We start from the raw sequence: 20,412 nt of genomic DNA, 5'->3' as shown, positions 1-20,412 counted from the left end.
GACATGGTGGACATGGCAGCAGGGAGAAGAAAAATGAGAGCTGAGTAAAGGGGGAAGCCTGTTATAAAACCATCATATCTCATGAGAACTTACTCACTGTCATGAGAACAGGATAGTGGAAACCTCCCCCATGATTCAATTATCTCCACCTGATCCCTCCCACCACATGTGGGGATTATAGGAACTACAATTCAAGATGAGATCTGGGTGGGAACACAGCCAAACCATATTAGCTGCCATTTATTGAGAACTTGGTCTAGCCAGACAGGAGGCTGAGCATTCTGCCTGTTTTTCTGTTTTCCTGACTTAACAATCCAGGGTAACCATTACATCGCTGCCTCATTTTGTAGATGAAAAAAACTAAGGTTCAGAGAGGCTACATAAATTACTCAGGCTCCGTGAATGTCAGATCCACACACCCATCCTGGGGACCATTCCATGGCACAAACCCTCACTGATGTCCCTGCAGCTAACTCAGGAAGCATCCTCATTCTGGGTTCTAGAGGAAATGTGCTGGAGAGGGCGTCACCCTCCCACCCCCATTACCTGGAATGATGGTTCCTATATCTTCTCGTTCCTCATTCTTCAATAAAAACCCCTCCAGGGATGTTAATTTAGGGGCTGAGAGTGAGTCAGACACATCCTACCACAGTCCCCCTTGACTTTGACAGGTCTGTCTTTTTTCCCTGCATCCTATTGGATCAGGTGAGAGTTCAGTTGTTCTTGTTGTCTTTGAACATACTTTATTTTTAAAGAAGTCTTAGGTTCACAGTGTAATTGAGTGGAAAGTACAGGGAGTTCCCATAGGCCCACTGTTCCCAAACATGCACAGCCTCCCTTATTACCAAAGTCCCCCACCACAGCGGTGCATTTGTTGCAATTGATGAGCCTACATTGACACATCACCAAAAGTCCCTAGTTTACATTAAGATTCATTCTTAGTGTTCTATATTCTGTGAATTTGGACAAATGTATAGTGATGTATATCCATTATTATAGTGTCATACAGAGTAGTTTCACTGCCCTGAAAATGCTTTGGCTCTGCCTATTTATTTTTTCTCCCCCAAACCCTGGGCAACCACTGACATTTTTATTATCTCCATAGTTTTGCCTTTTGTAGAATATCATATAATTGGGATCAGTCAGTATGTAGCCTTTTCAGAATGGCTTCTTTACTGAGTAGTATGCATTTAAGTTTCCCCGATGTCTTTTCATGGCTTAATAGCTCAATCTTTTTTTTTCTTTAGTGCTGAACAATATTCCTTCTTCTGGATATGCCCTAAATTATTTGTTTTTTTATGTACTAAAATACATTTTGGTTGCTTCTAAGTTTTGGCTGTCATGAATAAATCTGCTATAAACATCTGTGTGCAGGTTATTATGTGGACATAAATTTTCAACTCTTATGTGTAGATAGCCAGGAACGTGACTGCTTTGCTGGATCACATGGGAAGAGTACATTTAGTTTTGTAAGGAACTGCTGAACTGGCTTTCAAAATGGCTGTACTATTTTGCATTTCCACCAGCAATAAACGAAAGTTCCTGTTGCTCCACATCCTCTCCAGAATCTGGTGGTGTTAGTGTTTTGTGTACTCATAGTGTAGTGTATAGTGGTATCCCACTGTGGTTTTAATTTGCATCTTCCTGATGACATATGATGTTGAGCAACTTTTTGTATACACACTTTCCATCTGTTATATTTTCCTTGGTAAGATGTCTCTTAAGGTCTTTTCAGTTTGTTCATGTTTTATTGTTTAGTTTTAAGAGTTTTTTTGTATGTTTTGGATAACAGCTCTTTGTAAGACGTGAAAGACATGACTTGTGCAAATGTTTTTCTCAGTCTTTGATTTGTCTTCTCACACTCTTGACAGTGCCTTTTATAAACATTTTTAATTTTAATAAAATTCAGCTTATTGGCCAGGCCCAGTGGCTCACGCCTGTAATCCTAGTACTTTGGGAGGCCGAAGTGGACAGATCGCCTGAGATCAGGTGATCAGGTTAATATGGTGAAAACCCGTCTGTATTAAAAATACAAAAATTAGCCAGGCATGGTGGTGGGCACCTGTAGTTCCAGCTACCCTGGAGGCTGAGGCAGGAGAATCGCTTGAACCCAGGAGGTGGAGGCTGCAGTGAGCCGAGATCGTGCCACTGCACTTCAGCCTGGGCGGCAGAGTAAAACTCTGTCTCAAAAAAAAAAAAAAAAAAAGTTCAGCTTATAAATTATTTCTTTCATGAATAATGCCTTTGGTGGTGTATTAAAAAATTTATTGCTATACCTAAAGTTAGCTAAGTTTTCTCCTATGTTATCTTTTAGGACTTTAATATTTTTATGCTTTACATCTAGGTTTATGGTCCATTTTGAGTCAGTTTTCTAAAAGGGTGTCAGGTCCGTGTCTAGATTCAGTTTTGGCTTTAGGATATCCAGTTGCTCCAGTACTGTTTGTTGAAAATACTGTCTTTGCACCATTGTTTTGTCTTTGCGTCTTTGTCAAAGATTAGGTGACTATATTTATATGAGTCTATTTCTTGGCTCTGTATTCCATCCAACTGATCTATTTGTCTTTTGTTCACCAGTGCTACACTATTTTGATTGTTGACTGTAGCTTTAGTCTTGAAGTTGACAGTGGCAGCTCTCAGACATTGGTATTCTCTTTCAATGTTGAGTTGGTTATTCTGGGTCTTTTTTCTCTCCATATAAACTTTAGAATCATTTTGTCGATATCAAAAAATAACTCACTGGGAATTTGACTGGGATTTCATTGAATCTATAGATCAAGTTGGAAAGAAATTAAAGCTTGAAAATATCGCATCTTTCTATTCCTGAACTTGGAATATCTCTTTGTTAATTTAGTTCTTTATTTGGTTTGAGTTTTAGTTTTTTTCATATAAATTGTTATAGACTGAATGTTTGTGCTACTCCTCCCCTCAAAATTTATATGTTGAAAGACCCCCACAATGATGGTATTGGGGGGTGAATCCTTCAGCAGGTGATTAGGTGATGAGGGCAAAGCCCTCAAAGATAGGACTAAGGCCTTCATAAAAGAAACTCTTAAGAGCTCTCTTCCCCCTTCCATCAGGTGAGAATACAGAAAGAAGCAGGCACTCATGAGATGGCAAATCTGCCAGCATTTTGATCTTGGACTTTACAGCCTCCAAAATTATGAGAAAGAATTTGTTGTTGTTTATAAGCCACCTATTTTATGGTGTCCCATTATAGCAGCCTAAACTGCCTAAGATATAGATATTGTACATAATTTGTTAGGTTTATACCTAAGCATTTTAGGTTTCACTTATTCATCATTGGTGCATAGGAGAGTTATTGACTTTCGTATATTAACCTTGCATCCTGCAACCTTGCTATAATTGCTTATTAGTTCCAGGAATTGCTTTGTTTAATCTTTCAGATTTTCTACATAGACAATCAGGTAATCTGCAAACAAAGACCATTTCATTTCTTCCTTCCAAATACGTATATCATTTTCTTTTCTTTTCTTACCTTATTGAATTAGTTAGGACTTTCAATACAGTGTTGGAAAGCAGTTGAGAAGAAATATCCTTGCCTTGTTCCTGATTTTAGTGGAGAAGCTTCTTGTTTTTCACCATTAAGTATGATGTTTGTTGTAGGTTTTTTTTGTAGATGTTAGAATTCAGTTTTCACCTCTTCCATGCTAGCTCCCTCTTATCAATCTTGTTCCTTTTTAGAAATGTATCTAAGTTTTCCTGCTATCCTAGTCCTTCCTCTAGCATTTCATCAGCTTGGGCTCGCTCCTAGGTTTTCCCTATGTCATTAGTACAATGAAGCTTCAGTGTTCACCAAATGGAGCTATTTAGCACTCAAGCCTTGCTGGCCCTGCTGTCACTGAATTGATGAGTCTGAGTTCTGTTCTGAGCCACATTGTGAAGGATGAGACTGTGTTCCATTGAGCCCATGCACAGTGTACTTACTGGTGATGTACATTTTTTAAAAATGGTAATCCATTGTGGATAAATGGATCCTCACTGCTTACCAGAATATTTAATTAATCCAATCACCCCATTCCCAAACTATGGGAGATGAATGGAAGGTTTTCTTGCAGTGAAATCAAGTTCTCATTTATATGACCATCTGTTCCTGTAATAGAGTGCCCTGTGAAGCCTGTACAACTTTGGTGTTGCTGCTTGTTTTTTTCAAAGTACCATGAGCAGAAGCCTATGGGAGGAAAAAATAAGTGGTAAAACCCTTCTGTTCTCTTTGGTTTTTGTGTGTGTTAATCACAGAAAATAAAAATTATTCTCAGGATTTGCATGGGTACCTACAGAATAGAAATTATAAAAAAGTTCAAAATAATTTTTTCAGCTTTCTCACAGATGAGGCTAAAATTACACAGATTGTATCTACTGACATAAATTGACCAACTATACCCACCTTGACTTTAGAGATGTTGGGAACTCTTGGGTGTCTGGAAAAACCTTAAACCAGAGTTGTATCTACTGGATCCCATTTCTTGAGCACTCTTCTCTTGAGTTTAGTTTCTCAATAGTTTTCTTTTCCTTTTTGTTTTATTTATTTATTTATTTTTTGTGGGGGTGGGCAGAGTCTTGCTCTGTCACTCAGGCTGGAGGGCAAGTGGCACAACCTCGGCTCACTGCAATCTCCGCCTCCTGGGTTTAAGCAATTCTCCTACCTCAGTCTCCAGAGTAGCTGGGACTACAGGCGAGCACCACCACATCCGGCTAGTTTTTTCTGTATTTTTGGTAGACACTGGGTTTCACCATATTGGCCAGGCTGGTCTTGAACTCCTGACCTCAGATGATTCACCTGCCTCAGCCTCCTAAACAAATGGAATTACAGGTGTGAGCCACCACACCCTGCCTTCTTTTTGTTTTAATTTATAATATGGAGAGAGTCTATTTCTAAGGATATCTTCTTGCTGCATTAAAGTTTGCAACATGTTGCCTTGGTTGCTTTCTTTCTCTCTCTCTCTCACACACACACACACACACACACACACACACAAACACACACACACACACACACACCCACGGGGTAGTGTAAAAATAGTCTCTTAATCAAATGGGTGCTTTTTCTGATATGATGAATGAATTAACCATGTTTTGTATTTCAATCATCCCCAAGAGTACTCAGCTCTTGGGGGCTCTGTGGCCCCAGAATTGGTTTGGTTAATAGCCCAGCAATTTTCTTCAATAGCTCCATGAAAAAGCCCTGGAAAAGGTCAAAATTTTTTTTCCCTATTAACACTTCAAAAAAGCCAATTAATTGACTCAAAGTGCCTCAGGGAGGAGAATCTTGTTCTCAATTATAACAAGCTCTGTTTTGAATAGAAATTTAAATCCTCCTTTCTATAGAAGCTTGAAGGTGAGGTAGCTCTCACAGATTCTTTTTTTCACAAGGCTGAAAATATAGATGAACTCAGGGAGATTCATCTGTGCACGCCAGAGTCTGTTGTGTCACAGAGAGGGCCACGGGCCACTGATACAGGGACTTGTGTGAAAGAAAGTGGGAGAAGGGAAGGGAGAAAGTGAGAAGGGAGGAAGAGAAAAGAGAGAGAAACCAGCCACCATCTGCCAGCCAACCTTCTCCCAGCACCTTGCATACTGTGCTCTGCTTAACCATAAGCTGATCCCTGTGACACAAAGATTTAAGGCCCTTTGAAATGCATTCAGTGAACAGGAGAGGAGGATGCCTCTTGCATGTTATGTGCATCTTCCTGTTGGCAAGAGTGACCAGGCAACTCATTTGTGGCTTTATCTGCTTTTGTGCACCCAATAAATAGTATCTTACTTGAGACAACAAAAAACATTGATGAATCCCTATTTAATAAGGCCAGCTACTTGGGGAGAGGAGAAAAAGCCTAGCATTTAGCATTTATTTTTTCAAAAGGAGATTTTGCTTTCTCTTCTCATTTTTTTTTATGTTGAAAAACAGAGAAAAGCCACACAGCGAGCGCCCCACCCCCACTCCTTTCATTCTGGGCTTTTGTGTTTGGGGATTGGTTGGGGATAGACTTGCAGTGAGAAGATCACAGCTTGTCTTGGGGTAGGGAGGGGTTGCTGGAGACTGGCTGTTAACCCTGTGAATGCCAGACAACTGAGGGTTAAGCTCAAGACAGGGATTCTTTCTTTAGGACAGAGCTGAAGTAGAGAGAGAGCTGTGAAGAGAACCCACATGTTCTGTCCATAGTAATTTTTAAAAGTATAAATAGTGGCATTTCTGTTTCTAAAGGCAATATTTTATGACTGTATAAAACTCAGAGGAGAAAACAGAGACAAATTATATAACAGAAAAGAAAAACAATTCCAGTATCAATGGCAAGTGTTAATTACGGTTGTTAATGTAATTATCATGGATTATTTTTGATAATATAACATAGTGAACACTGTGCTAGGTGCTTTACATAGTTAGCCTATACTTCCTAAAACTGCCCTAGAATATAGGCATTCTTTTCTCCATTTGACTGATGAAAAAATATTTTTTATATGTAATTCTAATTTCCCTTTTTTGTGACTACTTAAGTACTTAGGTTATGCTTATGTGATCTTATTTTTATCCCACTTAACAAAGTGAGAAGCTCCATATTTTCTCACACCACATTTTTAAATGACTGCATAACCCGACATGTTATATGGTCATTTAAATCTAAATGACACCCTACCTGAGATGAAGCTCATGATATATGTAGCCATTTCTATGTGTTTAGATGTTTATGTAATGCAAAAGTTTTCTTTTGTAAATGAGATGGCATTTTGGATCTCTTTTGCACATTGCTAATTATTCCTTTAAGCCAGGTTTCCAGAAGTTCCCCAGTCATTGAGCATTTCTGAGGCTCTTGATGCATATGCCAAGTAGTTATGGAGAAAGACACAGCAGCTTACCTCTGCAGGCATCATTGTGTGAAAGGAAGACCCAGGCTCTCTCACCACCCTTGAACAGAAGCCTTTTGCTAAGGTGATAGCTACATGTCCAAGCCTATTGCGTGGCATGCATTTTGCCTTCTGCAGCCCACTAAAGGTACACAAACACCATTAGCCAATCTGAAAAAAGAAATTGATGTCTAACTGGTTATTATTTCCTAGCAAGTGTTCTGCAAGTTGGGTATGTTGTTTCTTTAATTTCACATTTTTTAAGTATTGTAATTTTTTTTTAAATGTCCTTTAAGGTGAGCAGTAAATGTGTTTGCTATTTCCCCAAAAGGAAATTGAAGTATACAGAATGCTTATTTGGTCTACTCAGTATCATCCTAAATGTATGTACCAATGCTTAGGAGTTTGCAGTTCACCCGCAAACCTCAGCGATCCAAGCTCCCCTGGATGACCATCACTCACCAAGAAAAGAGCAATAACAGGTACATTTCCAAAATTATCTTCCTTGTTGAACAATCCACACAGGAACACGATGATTCTGCAGGTCTGGAGTGATCTGGAAATCACGGGTGGAGTGAAAATACGTCAGGAAGCTTTTGGGAAGCCGTAGTGGATCTTGGGAAGCCATGAAGGGGCTCCTTTCTGTAGAATACAGCTTCCAGAAGAAGGAGTTGATTTTTTTGTAAATAGGGTCTCAGAAGGCAAATGAAGGGAGAGGCAAGGAAAACGGGCTTCCTCAGTAGCAGCTAGGTTGTCAGAAAAGATACCTTATGGCCAGTGATTTGGTCTGACCTGGTTTGTTTGCCTCACAAAACATCGGGGTATGTTGTTTTCTAGGACCTGTTTTGCTAATCCAGGACTGTTCTCCAGCACTAACTCTAAATAATCCCTTCTGCTAGAGTCCACTTTCTGGAACCTGTTGTGAGTATTGTGAATTGTTCTCCAACCTCTATTCTAGTTATCTCATTTCCATTGAGACTAGCAAAAGCACTTGCTTGAGATTCTGTGTTCAAGTTTCAACTTTAGCAACTCACTTTTCCTTTAGGCCTCCGTTTTCAACGTTTCCCAAACTTGGTCCGTTGTGTGAGCTGGCTGATAAAAGTTCCAGGTAACCTTCCTTGTTCTCAAGGTCCATTTTCCAGGAAAATCTGAGTCATGGTGCTGGGGAGGACACTTAAGTACATCAGTCAATCAGATGATTATTAAATTTAGGAAATAGTAGATCAACTGGATTAACTGGATTAAAATGCAGAATCCCAGGCCCCAGCCCAGACCTACTGAACCAGCATCTGCTCTTTAACAAGAGCCCCATGTGATGTGTGGGACAGAAAACTTTGTGAAGCACAGGGCTAGACAGTCTCTAAAGTCTTCTGCAGATCAGAAACGCAGCAATTCTGAGGTTTTCTTCAATTTTCTAATGTTATTTCCAGCTCTTTCCCCTCTCTTCTTTCCTTGATATGCTGAGGAAAACTTTCTCTGTGATAAGCAGAGTAGGTGTCTTGTTCTGTGAATTTCTAATGTCTCTGCAAGGGCTTCATATGTTGAAGGAAGTTGGGACTCAGGGGGTTAACTGCAAAACACATTACCATAGGACAGCTGCCACGGCATCACATTCTAAAATCTGATAAATGAAAAATGGGCATGGTATCAAATTTAATCACATTTGTATTCAGATGTTGTTGAGAGCAGACACTGATTTATGAACTAGCAACAGACACCAGATTTCCTGCCTATGTTATATACATATGAATGGGTGGACGGATGGATAGATAAACAGACAGTGAAATTATGTTGCAAATTACATGGCACCAGACCTGTTTATAACCTAGATCTCATCAAACTAATATTAAAAACTACTACAGATATATTTTTTTTTCCTGGGCAGTAGCTGGTGGTCTTACTTTTACCCTGAAAAACAGACTTCTTTCAAAGGATTCTCTTTCTTAATTTGTGCAGCATTGAAAATGCTTCTGCTTTGCTCAGTAGATAGCATTATCATATTTATATACAGAAAAATGTTCTTTATGGGATGGAAAAGGATAAAGGGATGTTCAAACCATTGCTGCGTTCTGTTGCGCACCCTCCCACTCCCTGACAACTCCGTTAAAACATCAACAGTACAAGGGGCCACTGTATATTTCTGGGATTACACACCAAGATCTAGGCTTTTAGAGGACCTGTGAAGGGCTGAGGTGGAAGAGGAGAACATTCAACATGGATTAATAATAAAAAAATTAAGCAACTTTCCTCTCAGTTCAGCAAAGTAGGGAGATCTAGGTTCAGTGTTTCTTGATATTTACAGTTTTGAAGGTAAATCACTTGGCTGATGAGGTTCTCTATTTTGGGGCAGATACTGCTTAATATCACCAGAGACATCTAGCCATCTTCGCAGTATGTTTTCTTTACTACGCCTTTTCCTTGTAGAGACTTCCTGTATTTGGCAAATTTAATCAAATTTTATTTATCTTTCAGAGGTCACATAGGTACATTCACTCACTTTCAACCAATATTTCTTAAGACTGTGTTACGCTGTGCACAGGAGACAAGACACAGAAATAGATGACCCATGATTTGTCTTCTTTTTATTTAAAAAAAAAAAAGAAGAAGAAGCTCTGTATCTGTGAACAAGTCAGATAGACACAGATGATTTCAGCATAATTAGGAGGAATCACTGAGCTCAGCCCAGGGAGCTAGACTAGCTCAGAGGAGTACCTGATTCACACTAGGAAGGTATTGGCACAGGCTTCCTGGAAGTGGAGACACTGAATGGAATTCTAAAGGATGTGATACCTTCTACATGTTCTTTAAGATACAGGATGGTGGGTGTTCTTAATGGAGAAGTAGGAGAAAAGGGTTTTCCTGGTGTGAGAAACAATGGAGATTAGAAAAAGCATGATAATCAGAGGACAATTCACAGCTGTGGTATGACTGGAATAAAACCATCCATCCTCCAGATGCCAGGAGGCAGGCACAACAGTCACTGTCCTGTGGCCTTCATTCCTTGGGGAAAACACCACAATGGTCATCACCTGAACAAATGGAGTGGGGAGATGTGGAAGTGAAAGAAAGGGAACGCTGAAGAAGACAGTATCAGAGACCCAGTAGCAATGAAACCTCAATTGGCACAGAGGATTTGGGAAGAAGGACCCAGATTTGAGTATTTTCAGCTCTAGGTGCTGAAGATGTTCATGACCAAATAGACATGGTAGTTGAGGGAAAGAGGGTTTTAGGGAGCCCTTCTCCTTGGAATTCTAGGTAAGTGATGATGCTATTTACTAAGAGAAGACATCCAGAAGAAGGAGCTTGCATTGTCTTTATTTTGATTTTGTTTTGGTGGAATTGAGAATACAATGTATTATTACTGTGGAGGAGGTGGAAATAATGCCAACTTAAACCTTCCCTCCCCTAGGGAGCTCTCCCTAACAATCTGGGCTGGAAAGAGTGTGTTCCTTTAGGAAACAAAGCATGTATTACCCATTGAGAATCCATTATTACTTTGAATTTTTAGTTTTGTTTTCATGTGTTGCTTTATCTTCTTAATTAAATTATCTCTTCTAGGGAGAAGACATCTTACTCTTATTGGATCATGCACAGTGCCTGAAGCATTCTGTTGCATGTAGAAGGTATTGGTGGATGTTTGTTAATTGATTTGTTGAATTTTTTTTCACTGAACACATTCCCAAGAAACAGCCAAACCCAGAGTAAGGAAACCATCTGGCAAGAACCGCTCAAGAGAATGCTTCTTGGCTCTCACATCTTAAAGGTCTTAAAATAGCTAACATTTATTGAACATTTTACTATATGCCAGGTATTATGGGCTAAGCCCATTATATATGTGATCTCATATAATTAATCTTCAAAACAATCTTGTGTCATAAATGCTACAAATACTTTGATTTTAAAACTGATGAAAATGAGATTCAGGGAGATTGTCATTTTATTTGCAGTCAGTAAATTGCAGATGTAAGATTCAAAACCAGACTTCACATCTACCGACTTCAGTGACCCTGAAATTTGTTCACAGAGAGCATTTAACATAACTGTCTTCATCATCTCCTTCTCTACATTAAAAATTATGGGTAAGTCTCTTGCTTTTCCAGTCTTCATTGCTTTTCTAGTCTTAGAAATATTATACAAAGACAAGAAATACAAGAGACTTACTCATAGCTATGTGTCCAGAGCTAGAGTTAGAATTCGCATCTAGATCTTGAGACAGGTAACTTCTTACTCTACTGCGTTGGTTTTAAGACAAATCTGTTGAGGCAAACTTTTTGCTGGGCACTGTAGGCAACAGAAAGAAACTGAGGGTCTGCTATTTGTCTCCAGAGGCCTTACAAACTGGTAGAAGATGCATAACAGAAGAGCTTATGAAGTTAAAGATGACAGCATAGCAGCACTGGTGAGATCCTTTTAGACATAACATGGTAGGAAGGACTGTTTGACAAAGTGAATGCCTGTCTTTCAGAATATACAGGGAGGTGTGATGTACCCATTATCACAAGCAGATGGAATCCCTATAGAGTCGGATCTCATCTACATATCACCTATTATATGTAGTTATTGATGGATAAATACTTCAACAACTAAAGGCAGAAAGAGAGCAGGTGGGCATAGGAGTTAGTAAACATCTCACTGCTATTGTTTTTCAAGGTGAAGCTAGAGAAGAAGATTCCTAAGATGTAGGAGGAAATTATCATACTGAGTAAGAGGGTGCAATTTTGGAAGGTTGGACTTGATGACCTCTCCAGCATTAAGGGTGAATGATTCTTTCTAGGGATTTGGTTTGTTGCCAGAGAGCCTGGCTACCTGCTATTTAGTTGCTTTGTTGATTAGCAAATTTCCTCTGAAATATTCCTCACATTCATGAGCCCCCTTCCTGGGGTAGGTGGACCCAGAAAATGTTTTCTCCCATTTTAGTTGGCCATGTGTTTGAAACTCAGATGGACCTAAGTCTTTCAGCATCATTGTCACTACTGTATGTCTATCCATAAAAAGAAGGCATAAGACTCTCTGTAGTATCACGAAGTTAGCCATTTGGGATTGCAAAAACTTTCCTCTTTCCATTGGAGAGAAATAGTTTAGATTAGATGGTGGAGCCCCTACCACATCTCCCAAAATTTAAATTATAACATGAACAGTAATTTAGGTCTGATTTTAATATTTTGTCATTCTTAAACCTAATAAAAGCTACATCTTCCTAAAGACCCTCCTAATTTTTATTATGGACAGTTCACAAAGACGTTATTGGTGATTCAATCTTGAGTCATGAAAAGTCAACCTTGAGCCACAAAAAGTCAACCTTGAGCCAAGCAGATTGGAGAGTCATACATGCCATTCCTGGGACCATCAAAAATGGCAGAGGTCACACAAAAAGGCAAAACTTTTAAGAGGTGTTTTAAACGTCGTATGGGCCAAAGAGAAGCTGGATTTCCTATTGGAGTCACCTGTAACACACGTGTGACGAAATTGGCCTGTGAGGACAAGGCAGTGAGCAGAGAGGACAGCAGTCCTTATGAGATCAAGCTCTAAGGTGAGGTTGCAGGATCTGAAGGCCAGCTCCCCTGCTTGCTCACTGTATGACTTTAGGCAAGTCATTTTACTTCTGAATGATTCATATTGGAAGTAAAATATATGATTGGTTAAAATAGTTTCTAAATTTATTATGGGGATTAAATGGACCAATATACTCGAAGCTTTTCAGACAGAGTCTGGCGCAAAGTAAGCACTTAGAAAAATGTAAGCTTTTATTATAATAGAAACTATTAATATAATAATTATTCCTGGGTGTAAAATTAGGGAAAATCATTAGAATAGAAAGGAAGAAAGAAACAAGAATCAGAATAGGAGCAAGAGAGATTTCAAGGAAGGGGTAAGGATGTTTGGGAGATACTAGTTTTCCCCTAGACTGGTATCCAAACTAGATTTTAAAATCTTGAGATAGGGCCTTGTCTTTTATGATGGGCAGGATTTCTTTGCTCTTAGCATTGATAAAATGTGGCATGACCAGTGGCTGGTTGAATGATGTATAGCTCCAGCTGGAATCAAGATCACAGTATGCTGACCTCTGAACTTTGTAAGATTGCAATGATTACTCTTCTTCCACTCAGAGGCTCATTAGTGTCAAGCCATGGTTGTCCCTGTTTTGATGAGTATTCACCACCTGGCTACATGTGACCTGGCTTCTGGTTATAACCATACCAGCCTGCATGACTTCCCATAGCATGCTGCCATCAGACACTGCTCTCCCATCTTCTGCAACATGAGATAACTTTTCACAATTGGGGCATGAGGGGCAGTGCTAGTGGATACAACATTTTATGTCAAATCAGGGGTTCTGCAAAATGCCCCTGGTTAATTTAGTCCAGAGTCTAATGTAAAAAGGTATCTGAGTAGCACAAAATTGCATATATAATTGTTTTCCATCATTATTTTATAACTTTCCTCAATATCATCCAGGTATCCTAGACACATTTGGAGAATTCACCTGAGCTACAGGATGTGGTAAGATTTGGTGAGCAGGTGGTGATTCTTACAGAATCCCTCACACATTCATGCACAGAACTTCCCCAGCACACTCCCAGGTAGGACCACTTCCCTCTTCATTGTGCAAAGATTCACCACTGGTTCCAGCCTTCTCTGGCACTTTTAAGATATGCATCAGGTTTTATTCATCTCTGATTTTCTAGCCTCTGGCAGACTACCTGGTGTACCAGAGGCTTTGTAAGTAATAGTTAAATAAAGAGAAAACATTAAAGCAACATTGAAGGAAGAGGGTTAACCAGACTACAGATTTGAGACCTCTATCTCAGAGGGCCAACAGTCATGTTGATGTTTTCATGCTTTCTTGGATATAAAAGTCACACTACACTTTCCCTCTCGGTGACCATGTACAAAGGTTCATTTATAATTAATAGACAAAGTCTTTAATAAAGCAAACCAAATGTCATCTTTCCTTTTTTCTGCAATATGAAGTCATTATTTCCACTGGATGAAAGCACTTTTGACCTATAAAAATAAAAAAGTGAGATGTTAGGTGACTTCAGTGCATAAAAATACTGTTTCTTGTTACCAATAATATATACTCAACCATCGTCTTCATCTTTATCATGGTCTCCTGGGGCAAACTGAATCTGAGTTAGCAGGGTTTAATAAAAGTTATTCTGAACATCTGGGTCATTGTAGAGACACATATTGAAAATTGAAACACTTTATATGTCAACAGATGTTCTAGAAGAAGCCTGTCTATTTTCTCTTATTCATTTATGAGTCCAAGGAGAGGAAAAGTTCTTTGTTCATCTCTCCATCCATGATATTATGCTCCATGCCTGAACCTCACCTAATGCCTACTATGTTTTACCAGTGTTGAAGGAGTACCAAGAAGCATGAACATCATGAGTCCCAAAACTCATATAACCCCCCTGCCTTTTTTTTTTTTTTTTTTTTTTTTTTTTAGTCCTGGGCTCCTTGGCCACTAGCTGCAATATACCCTTCTCCAAGTCACTCCCCTTTGGAAGTCCTTGTTATTTCTAACAGTAGACGGAGACTTTCACCAGATGGGGATTGAGGTCCTCTCAGCTTTATCTATGCTATGAGTCTATCTGGACTGGCATATTAGGAATTTTGTGGCCTTCTGAGCAATGCACTTAATAGAGTTACTATTAGACAAAAGTTTCCTAATATGGTAAAATTTGATGGTCATAAAGATTTGAGTACTGCTATGTATTTTCTTAAAGGAAGGTAGAAATAAAAACCTACTTGTGAATCTATTGAAAACTTATTAAAGTTCCTTGAACTATTTTGTTGTGCAAAAGCTTATCTATAAGTTCTAAGGAAGAAAGAAATTCAATTTAAATAAGACTTCCATTTGGGGGAAAAAAGGAAAGTTTTATTTTTCTGCTTCTTCTGAACTTACGCTAGAGACAACACAGGTCCAAAGAATGTTTTGTAGAATAAGAGACTCCTTGAGCTTAAAGGATCTTTGAATATAACTCTCAATATTTTTCACTGTCATGAGCTTTTTGAAATTGATGAAGCCAAAATCCTTACTATGAATACATATCTCCTAGAACATTTTTTTCAGGATGTTAGGATCTTCCTGGACCTCTCAAATTAGTGATACTAATACTCATAGTCAAGATCCTGCATCTAACTCTGCCAGCAACTGCAGTCACAGACAAATGACTTTCTCCGTTTTGTTTTTTTCATTTATAAAGCAAAATTATTGTATAAGATGATTCATTCACCCTTTCTAGGTAAAGTTTTCCATTTTTCTGTTATTTAAGCTGAATATGCTGTGATTGGAGAATTCCCTTGCAGGATAACTGAACAAGAGAGTGCAGAAAGCACATCAATGCCTCCCTACCATGCCCAACTCAACTGACTCTCCATTTCACTCAGTTACATTGCAGTTTATCATGGCTCAGTAACATGAGCAAAATAAGGGGTAGTAAGATTTTATTAAAGTTATTATGAAAATCTGCCTCATTGGAAGCTTCAAGAAGTACCAGTAGGGATTAGAATGATACAAAGTAGAAAATGACTTGCTTAACTGGATGTATTTCTGAGAGCTGGATGTAACACATTTTGCATCTTCCTAGGAGACAGGAAAAATGTCTAATTCTGTGAAATTCAGGGTGTGGACCAGAAAGATAATTTGTTTTATGCATCCTGTGAGCACAAGTGATGTCGTAGCTCCACTAGAAATAAGAGCCTTTAGGGAATGGGGAAGTCCTATATGCACAAGTTTTGAAATTCAGATGGAAGAGTCTTATTTTAAAAAGGCTTTGCATGAGCCAAATGTATAAAGTTGCAACTTTATTCAACTCAACCAGAGATCCTCTGAGATGAAGCCAACAAACCCCGTCCATGTGACCTTGGCTGGCTTTGAATGGCCCCATGTGGTCCATTGACCTTCTTCAGGAAAAGGAGCCACTGGAGACAGGAAAAGGAAGAGCGTATTCCTCCAAACAATGAACACTTACATTTTCTCAGCTTTCTAGAGTAGGGTGGGATTCGAGGGGTAGAATTTCTCTGCTCTTTTTTAAGGGCATTTTTTGGTTTGTTTTTAAGGAATCATTTTTTTCCTTTCTCCAATTTGAAAATAAATTAAAGCAAAACAAGGGAGGAGAGATGACAAGATTCTCATTCATTTGTTTACCCTTTATTCCCTCTACCAACTACTTTTTGACTATTTAGTTGTAAGCCAGAGAAATAAAGTAGTAAATACAAAGCAGTGAGGAAAACTTATAATAAGCTTATCCACTTGGATATCATGTAAGCCTGTAATCATTTAAATTAGCCAGTGGGAGAAAAACTTATGAAAGAGGTGAGCTGTTCTTAGATTTGATGTCGGAGTAGGTGTCAGCTGCTGGATGAAGGAGAAGAAAGGGCATGCTAGTTGTGTAAATAGCTTGTATAAAGGCCAATGAGTAAGAAACAGCAAATATTGAAGCAAAGCTGGAGAGAATGGTGCATGGAGGTGATGAGACCAGAATAGAGTCTGTCCACAAAGCCATGCGCTAGGATGGAGAGTATGCACGGGACACTCAAGCTAGGGTGTATGAGACGAGACAGGAGAAGAGGAGGCCTCTGGTGAATTTACATCAGGGCTGAAATATGATTAGGTATGTTGCTTAGAAAGATCATTTATGCAACAGTTTCTCGGATGTTTTTGGCGATATGGGACTCAGAGGGAGGGGGCAAGGCAGAAGGCCATTGCTGATAATGTGTGAGCCATATGACTAGGGCCTGGACTTGGGCAGTGGCAGTGACATTGTTGCAGTAAATAGAGAAAGCAGGTCTCAGGGGATTTTAGGTAGTAGGATGTGGGGCATAATAATGAAACATAATAGTGAAAGAAGAGTAGACAGTGGTAGGCAATGCTCAGAAGTATTGATGGATACATGACAAGTTCAGAAAAAATTCAATTGATGCTGACAATGATAGATGCCTAACAGGAAGATGCATTAACATGGAGACAGAGAAACCTTAGTCTTCATCTATCACCACTTCAGGGGGCATGAACCATGTCCTGTAGGTATGACCACATTTCACTGTGGGAAGGCAAACACAACTGCTTTCCATGATGGGCATCTGGTCCTGGAGTCCTAGATTGAACAAAGGTTAGTTTTAGCCCCTAGACTATTGGCTTGGCCACCACACATTGGTTTTCATAAGTACAGTTATTATGTCTTGTTCATCCCTTTACATTTATGCTGGCCATGTTCTTGATATATCAGATCTATTCAATAAATGTTTACCTAATGAATACATTAAGTATGCTCTTAGACCTGCCGTGCCGAACCAGGGACCTATTGACTCCATTATTGCACTAGAGTATCATTTTTCTATAAAACTTGAGATGTGTTTCAAACTTGTCTTTGAAAACCTGGTGAATCGCCCTTGTCTTTATGACTTATCTTCATAGTCCCTGTCAGACCTTCATACAAATGAATAAAATTTGCTTTGAGAACCAGTACTTTCTCTCCTATGCTCAGGTTAACTTTTCCCATATCCCAAGCTTTATTCCTCCTTGAAGGCTCTATTACAATAGTTTTTCCCACTGCACTTCATCCAGAGTCTTTGTTCTTCATTGCTATATGTAGATATGAATGATTGACAACATTTAAAAATGCTACATTTTACTGACAAAGTTTGGATTTTCACCAATGTCTATGCCCGAAATAGAAGACATCTCTTTCTCCTCTAGGCATCCACGATACTTAATATTAGCCTCTGCTCCTTCCAAATGCTGAACTTCTCCAGGGCTGGAACTGAATCATGTTTATCAATTTAATCTTAAGGACTTGATAAATAAATTCTTGCTGAATGAATAGTTGAATTACAGCCTGTAGTCAGCATTTTGAGAGGTCATGTTTTGAGATCTGTGACCTTCCCTGGTCTCCTGGAGTCACACTACCTTGTCTCTGTCTTCATCATTTCTATCATCTCTGTTTCTCTTTCTCATGTTTATCTCTGAATATATACTTAAATTTTTATTACATTATTTAATCAATTTATACTTATAAAATTTGGCCGAATGCATATTTTCTCAACTCTCTTCCTATAGATCCGCCCTTGGATCATCTAAAAATAATGAATGTCCCTTTAATTTATGATGTGAAGAAGAGGAAGCACGGGTCCCAGAGTCAGGGGCCTGCATGGTTGTCCTGGCCCGAATGTCTCACCTGTGTGGCCCTGGGCAAGTCATTCTGATGACCGGTTATGGCAGTGGTGGTTGTGAAGGCAGTTGTGATGATGGAACTTAAATTTCTGTCTGACCCCCAAGATAATTCCTGGGATTTGACAGGGGAAGGATTCCTGAATGAGAAAAGCCATTTCTTGAACACTTCGGTGTCCCTGGACTTCCCCACCATGAGTTTATCTTGGCTCTAGGGCAACACCATGCCCAGATGTGAAATGCAAGCAAGTCTGGCACTGGGAGATGTCCAAATATTCTCGGCTTCCGAGAATGTGGGTATTTGGTAGCAGGAGAGTTTGTCTTTGGAACATGAGATTCTTCTAGGTCTCCTCCTTTCCTGACCCCTGTGAATCTGAAAGACTGTGGAGTTTATTTTCAGTCCTGGGGCTTATAAGTCCTGCTGTTCTGGTCAGGCTCAAATTCCGCAGAACAATGAATCCATTTTGCAGCGTAGGAAAAGACCCACATACCCGGCCTTCATTTCACTACATGTGTTTCTGTTGAGATTGACCACAATCAGAATGTGCTGGACAAAGGGAGATGGAGGCTTCTTGGCCTTTTATAAATGGTAGAGCAGCAGCTGGTCTTGGAAGGATCAACAACTTAACAATATCCAGATCCAGCATGACAACTTCCAAAACCTCAAGTGTGTGAGGAGCGGTGATGAGCAGGGAGGCAAAGACTTTAGTAGCCACAGCAGGAAGACTGGGTTGCAAGGGACAGGGGAATATGGTAGTCGGCATGGAAGCCAGGACACCCTCACCCCGGGCTGCACAGCATCTTCATAGTGTGGGCAAAACCTGCAGAGGTGGGGCTCCTTTGCTGCAACAGCCCCAAGTCCTTCCGCTCTTTTCCTCCACATTCAGCCAAAGGATTTCTTGGGAAAAAATTTCACAGAGAAATAACCAGAGCAAAGTGTTAGTGACAGAGAAATGTGATCAAGTTGTCCCTGTTCTCCTTCATTAAACAGTGCCTTACACTTGTTGGGACAATCCTCCAATAACAGATCTTCTGTAGCTAAAGTAATGAGAGAGATGAATGTATCTAGAGGCTCAAAGCGCCATTCATGGACGAAATGGACCTTCCTTGCCTGGAAAGACCTGATGTCCTTTTCATTTTTTCTTTAAGCTTCACTATGTGTATCTTAGCACAAACCTAACTTGTTTAGCAGTAGATGAATCATGACATACCAATGCTGGGTGAAAATATACAAGATACTTAATATGTTATTTCCAAAGGAAAGGAGTTCACCAATATCTTTTGCTCCTTGACCTCTGAACAAATATTTTATTGTTTTGTTTTTGCTTTCCTTTGTGTGGAGACTGGGTTCTTGCTATGTTGCCCAGGCTAGTCGCTAACTCCTGGGCTCAAGCTATCCTCCCGCGTCTGCCTCCTTAAGTGCTGGGATTACAGTCGTGAGCCACCCTACACAGCCTGAACAAATATTTTCATTGAAGTCACGCACATTTCTGCAGATCTGGTATATTTCCAGGATATCACTTAGTATTTTTGGACTCAAAGCCAGAACTGCAAATTCAGTCAGAAGCAGCCCTGCATTCATGGTCAGAACGCCAGAATTCTAGCTGGGTTTCTAATTTAGCCAGCAGTGTGACTTAGAGCAAATCACATAACCTCTGGCGGATTTTAAAAACTAGATAATAGACTAGATAGTGTAAATGTCTTTTCAACTTTTAGAGTTTGTATGGCCCCATTAAAATTTGTGAAGTTTTATTGTCTATTTATTTGTTTTGTTTTTTTAGAAAAGTTGCTAAAACTGCTGTGAGATTCTGGCTAAGAAAGTTTCATGAGAAGTTTTACAGAAAAATGTGAACGGAAGACAGAACTAGATATAAATTTGAATGGTAATCTAAATAAAAGACATTTTTCATTTTAATGCTTTATTTATTAGTGTCATGGAGGGAATACATGAAGAGAAAGAAAGCATTTAAATGTATAGAAAATTCAGCTTTTTCAAAAATATGAACTATATTACTAATAGCAGTCCTTGGAATTTTGGTGTGCTTGTATTCATCATCCGTGTCTAAAATAATCCCTATCCAATCCAATAATAAAACCCCAAATTACCAAATTTTAGTGTACTTGAGTTTATTTTTATATAACTTTTAAAAAACCTGGGGATTTTTATCATATGCACAAATGGTACAAATGGTGACTTGAAAATGTTTGTAGATGTTTTCATTATTTTGAAAAGGAAAAACAAAACAAAACAAAAAAACTAAGGGTTGAATTTAGTAAAGGAAGATGAAAATTTTCTCCTGAGAACTACAATCAGAGAAGAGATTTTGAACCAATAGTTTTGGAAGAAATAAGGTGAAAAAGAAGACCGGAAT

General features: G+C 39.2%; 1 long non-coding RNA gene across 2 annotated transcripts, besides 1 other annotated feature; it reads left to right on the top strand.

The window, feature by feature from the left end:
• Window positions 5,684-6,287: an enhancer, noted in NCBI's record as "OCT4-NANOG-H3K27ac hESC enhancer chr2:6779905-6780508 (GRCh37/hg19 assembly coordinates)". NCBI's record gives its function as "activates a minimal SCP1, AML or CMV promoter by ChIP-STARR-seq in naive and primed H9 embryonic stem cells {active_cell/tissue: H9 hESC(naive and primed)}" and the evidence as "EXISTENCE:reporter gene assay evidence [ECO:0000049][PMID:30033119]".
• Window positions 11,354-19,951, top strand: LINC01246 (long intergenic non-protein coding RNA 1246). 2 transcript variants are annotated; one of them, NR_110498.1, is made up of 3 exons: window positions 11,354-11,465; window positions 12,091-12,391; window positions 19,822-19,951. It is a non-coding gene; the product is annotated as a long intergenic non-protein coding RNA 1246 (long non-coding RNA). The 2 variants fall into 2 exon arrangements; NR_110500.1 differs by lacking the exon at window positions 11,354-11,465 and adding an exon at window positions 13,318-13,362 and having other exon boundaries at window positions 12,273-12,391.
• The last annotated feature ends 461 nt before the right edge of the window (window positions 19,952-20,412 follow it).

This window comes from Homo sapiens, chromosome 2 (assembly GCF_000001405.40).
Source record: "Homo sapiens chromosome 2, GRCh38.p14 Primary Assembly".
NCBI lineage: Eukaryota > Metazoa > Chordata > Mammalia > Primates > Hominidae > Homo > Homo sapiens.
This window is presented reverse-complemented; position numbering and strand designations above follow the sequence as displayed.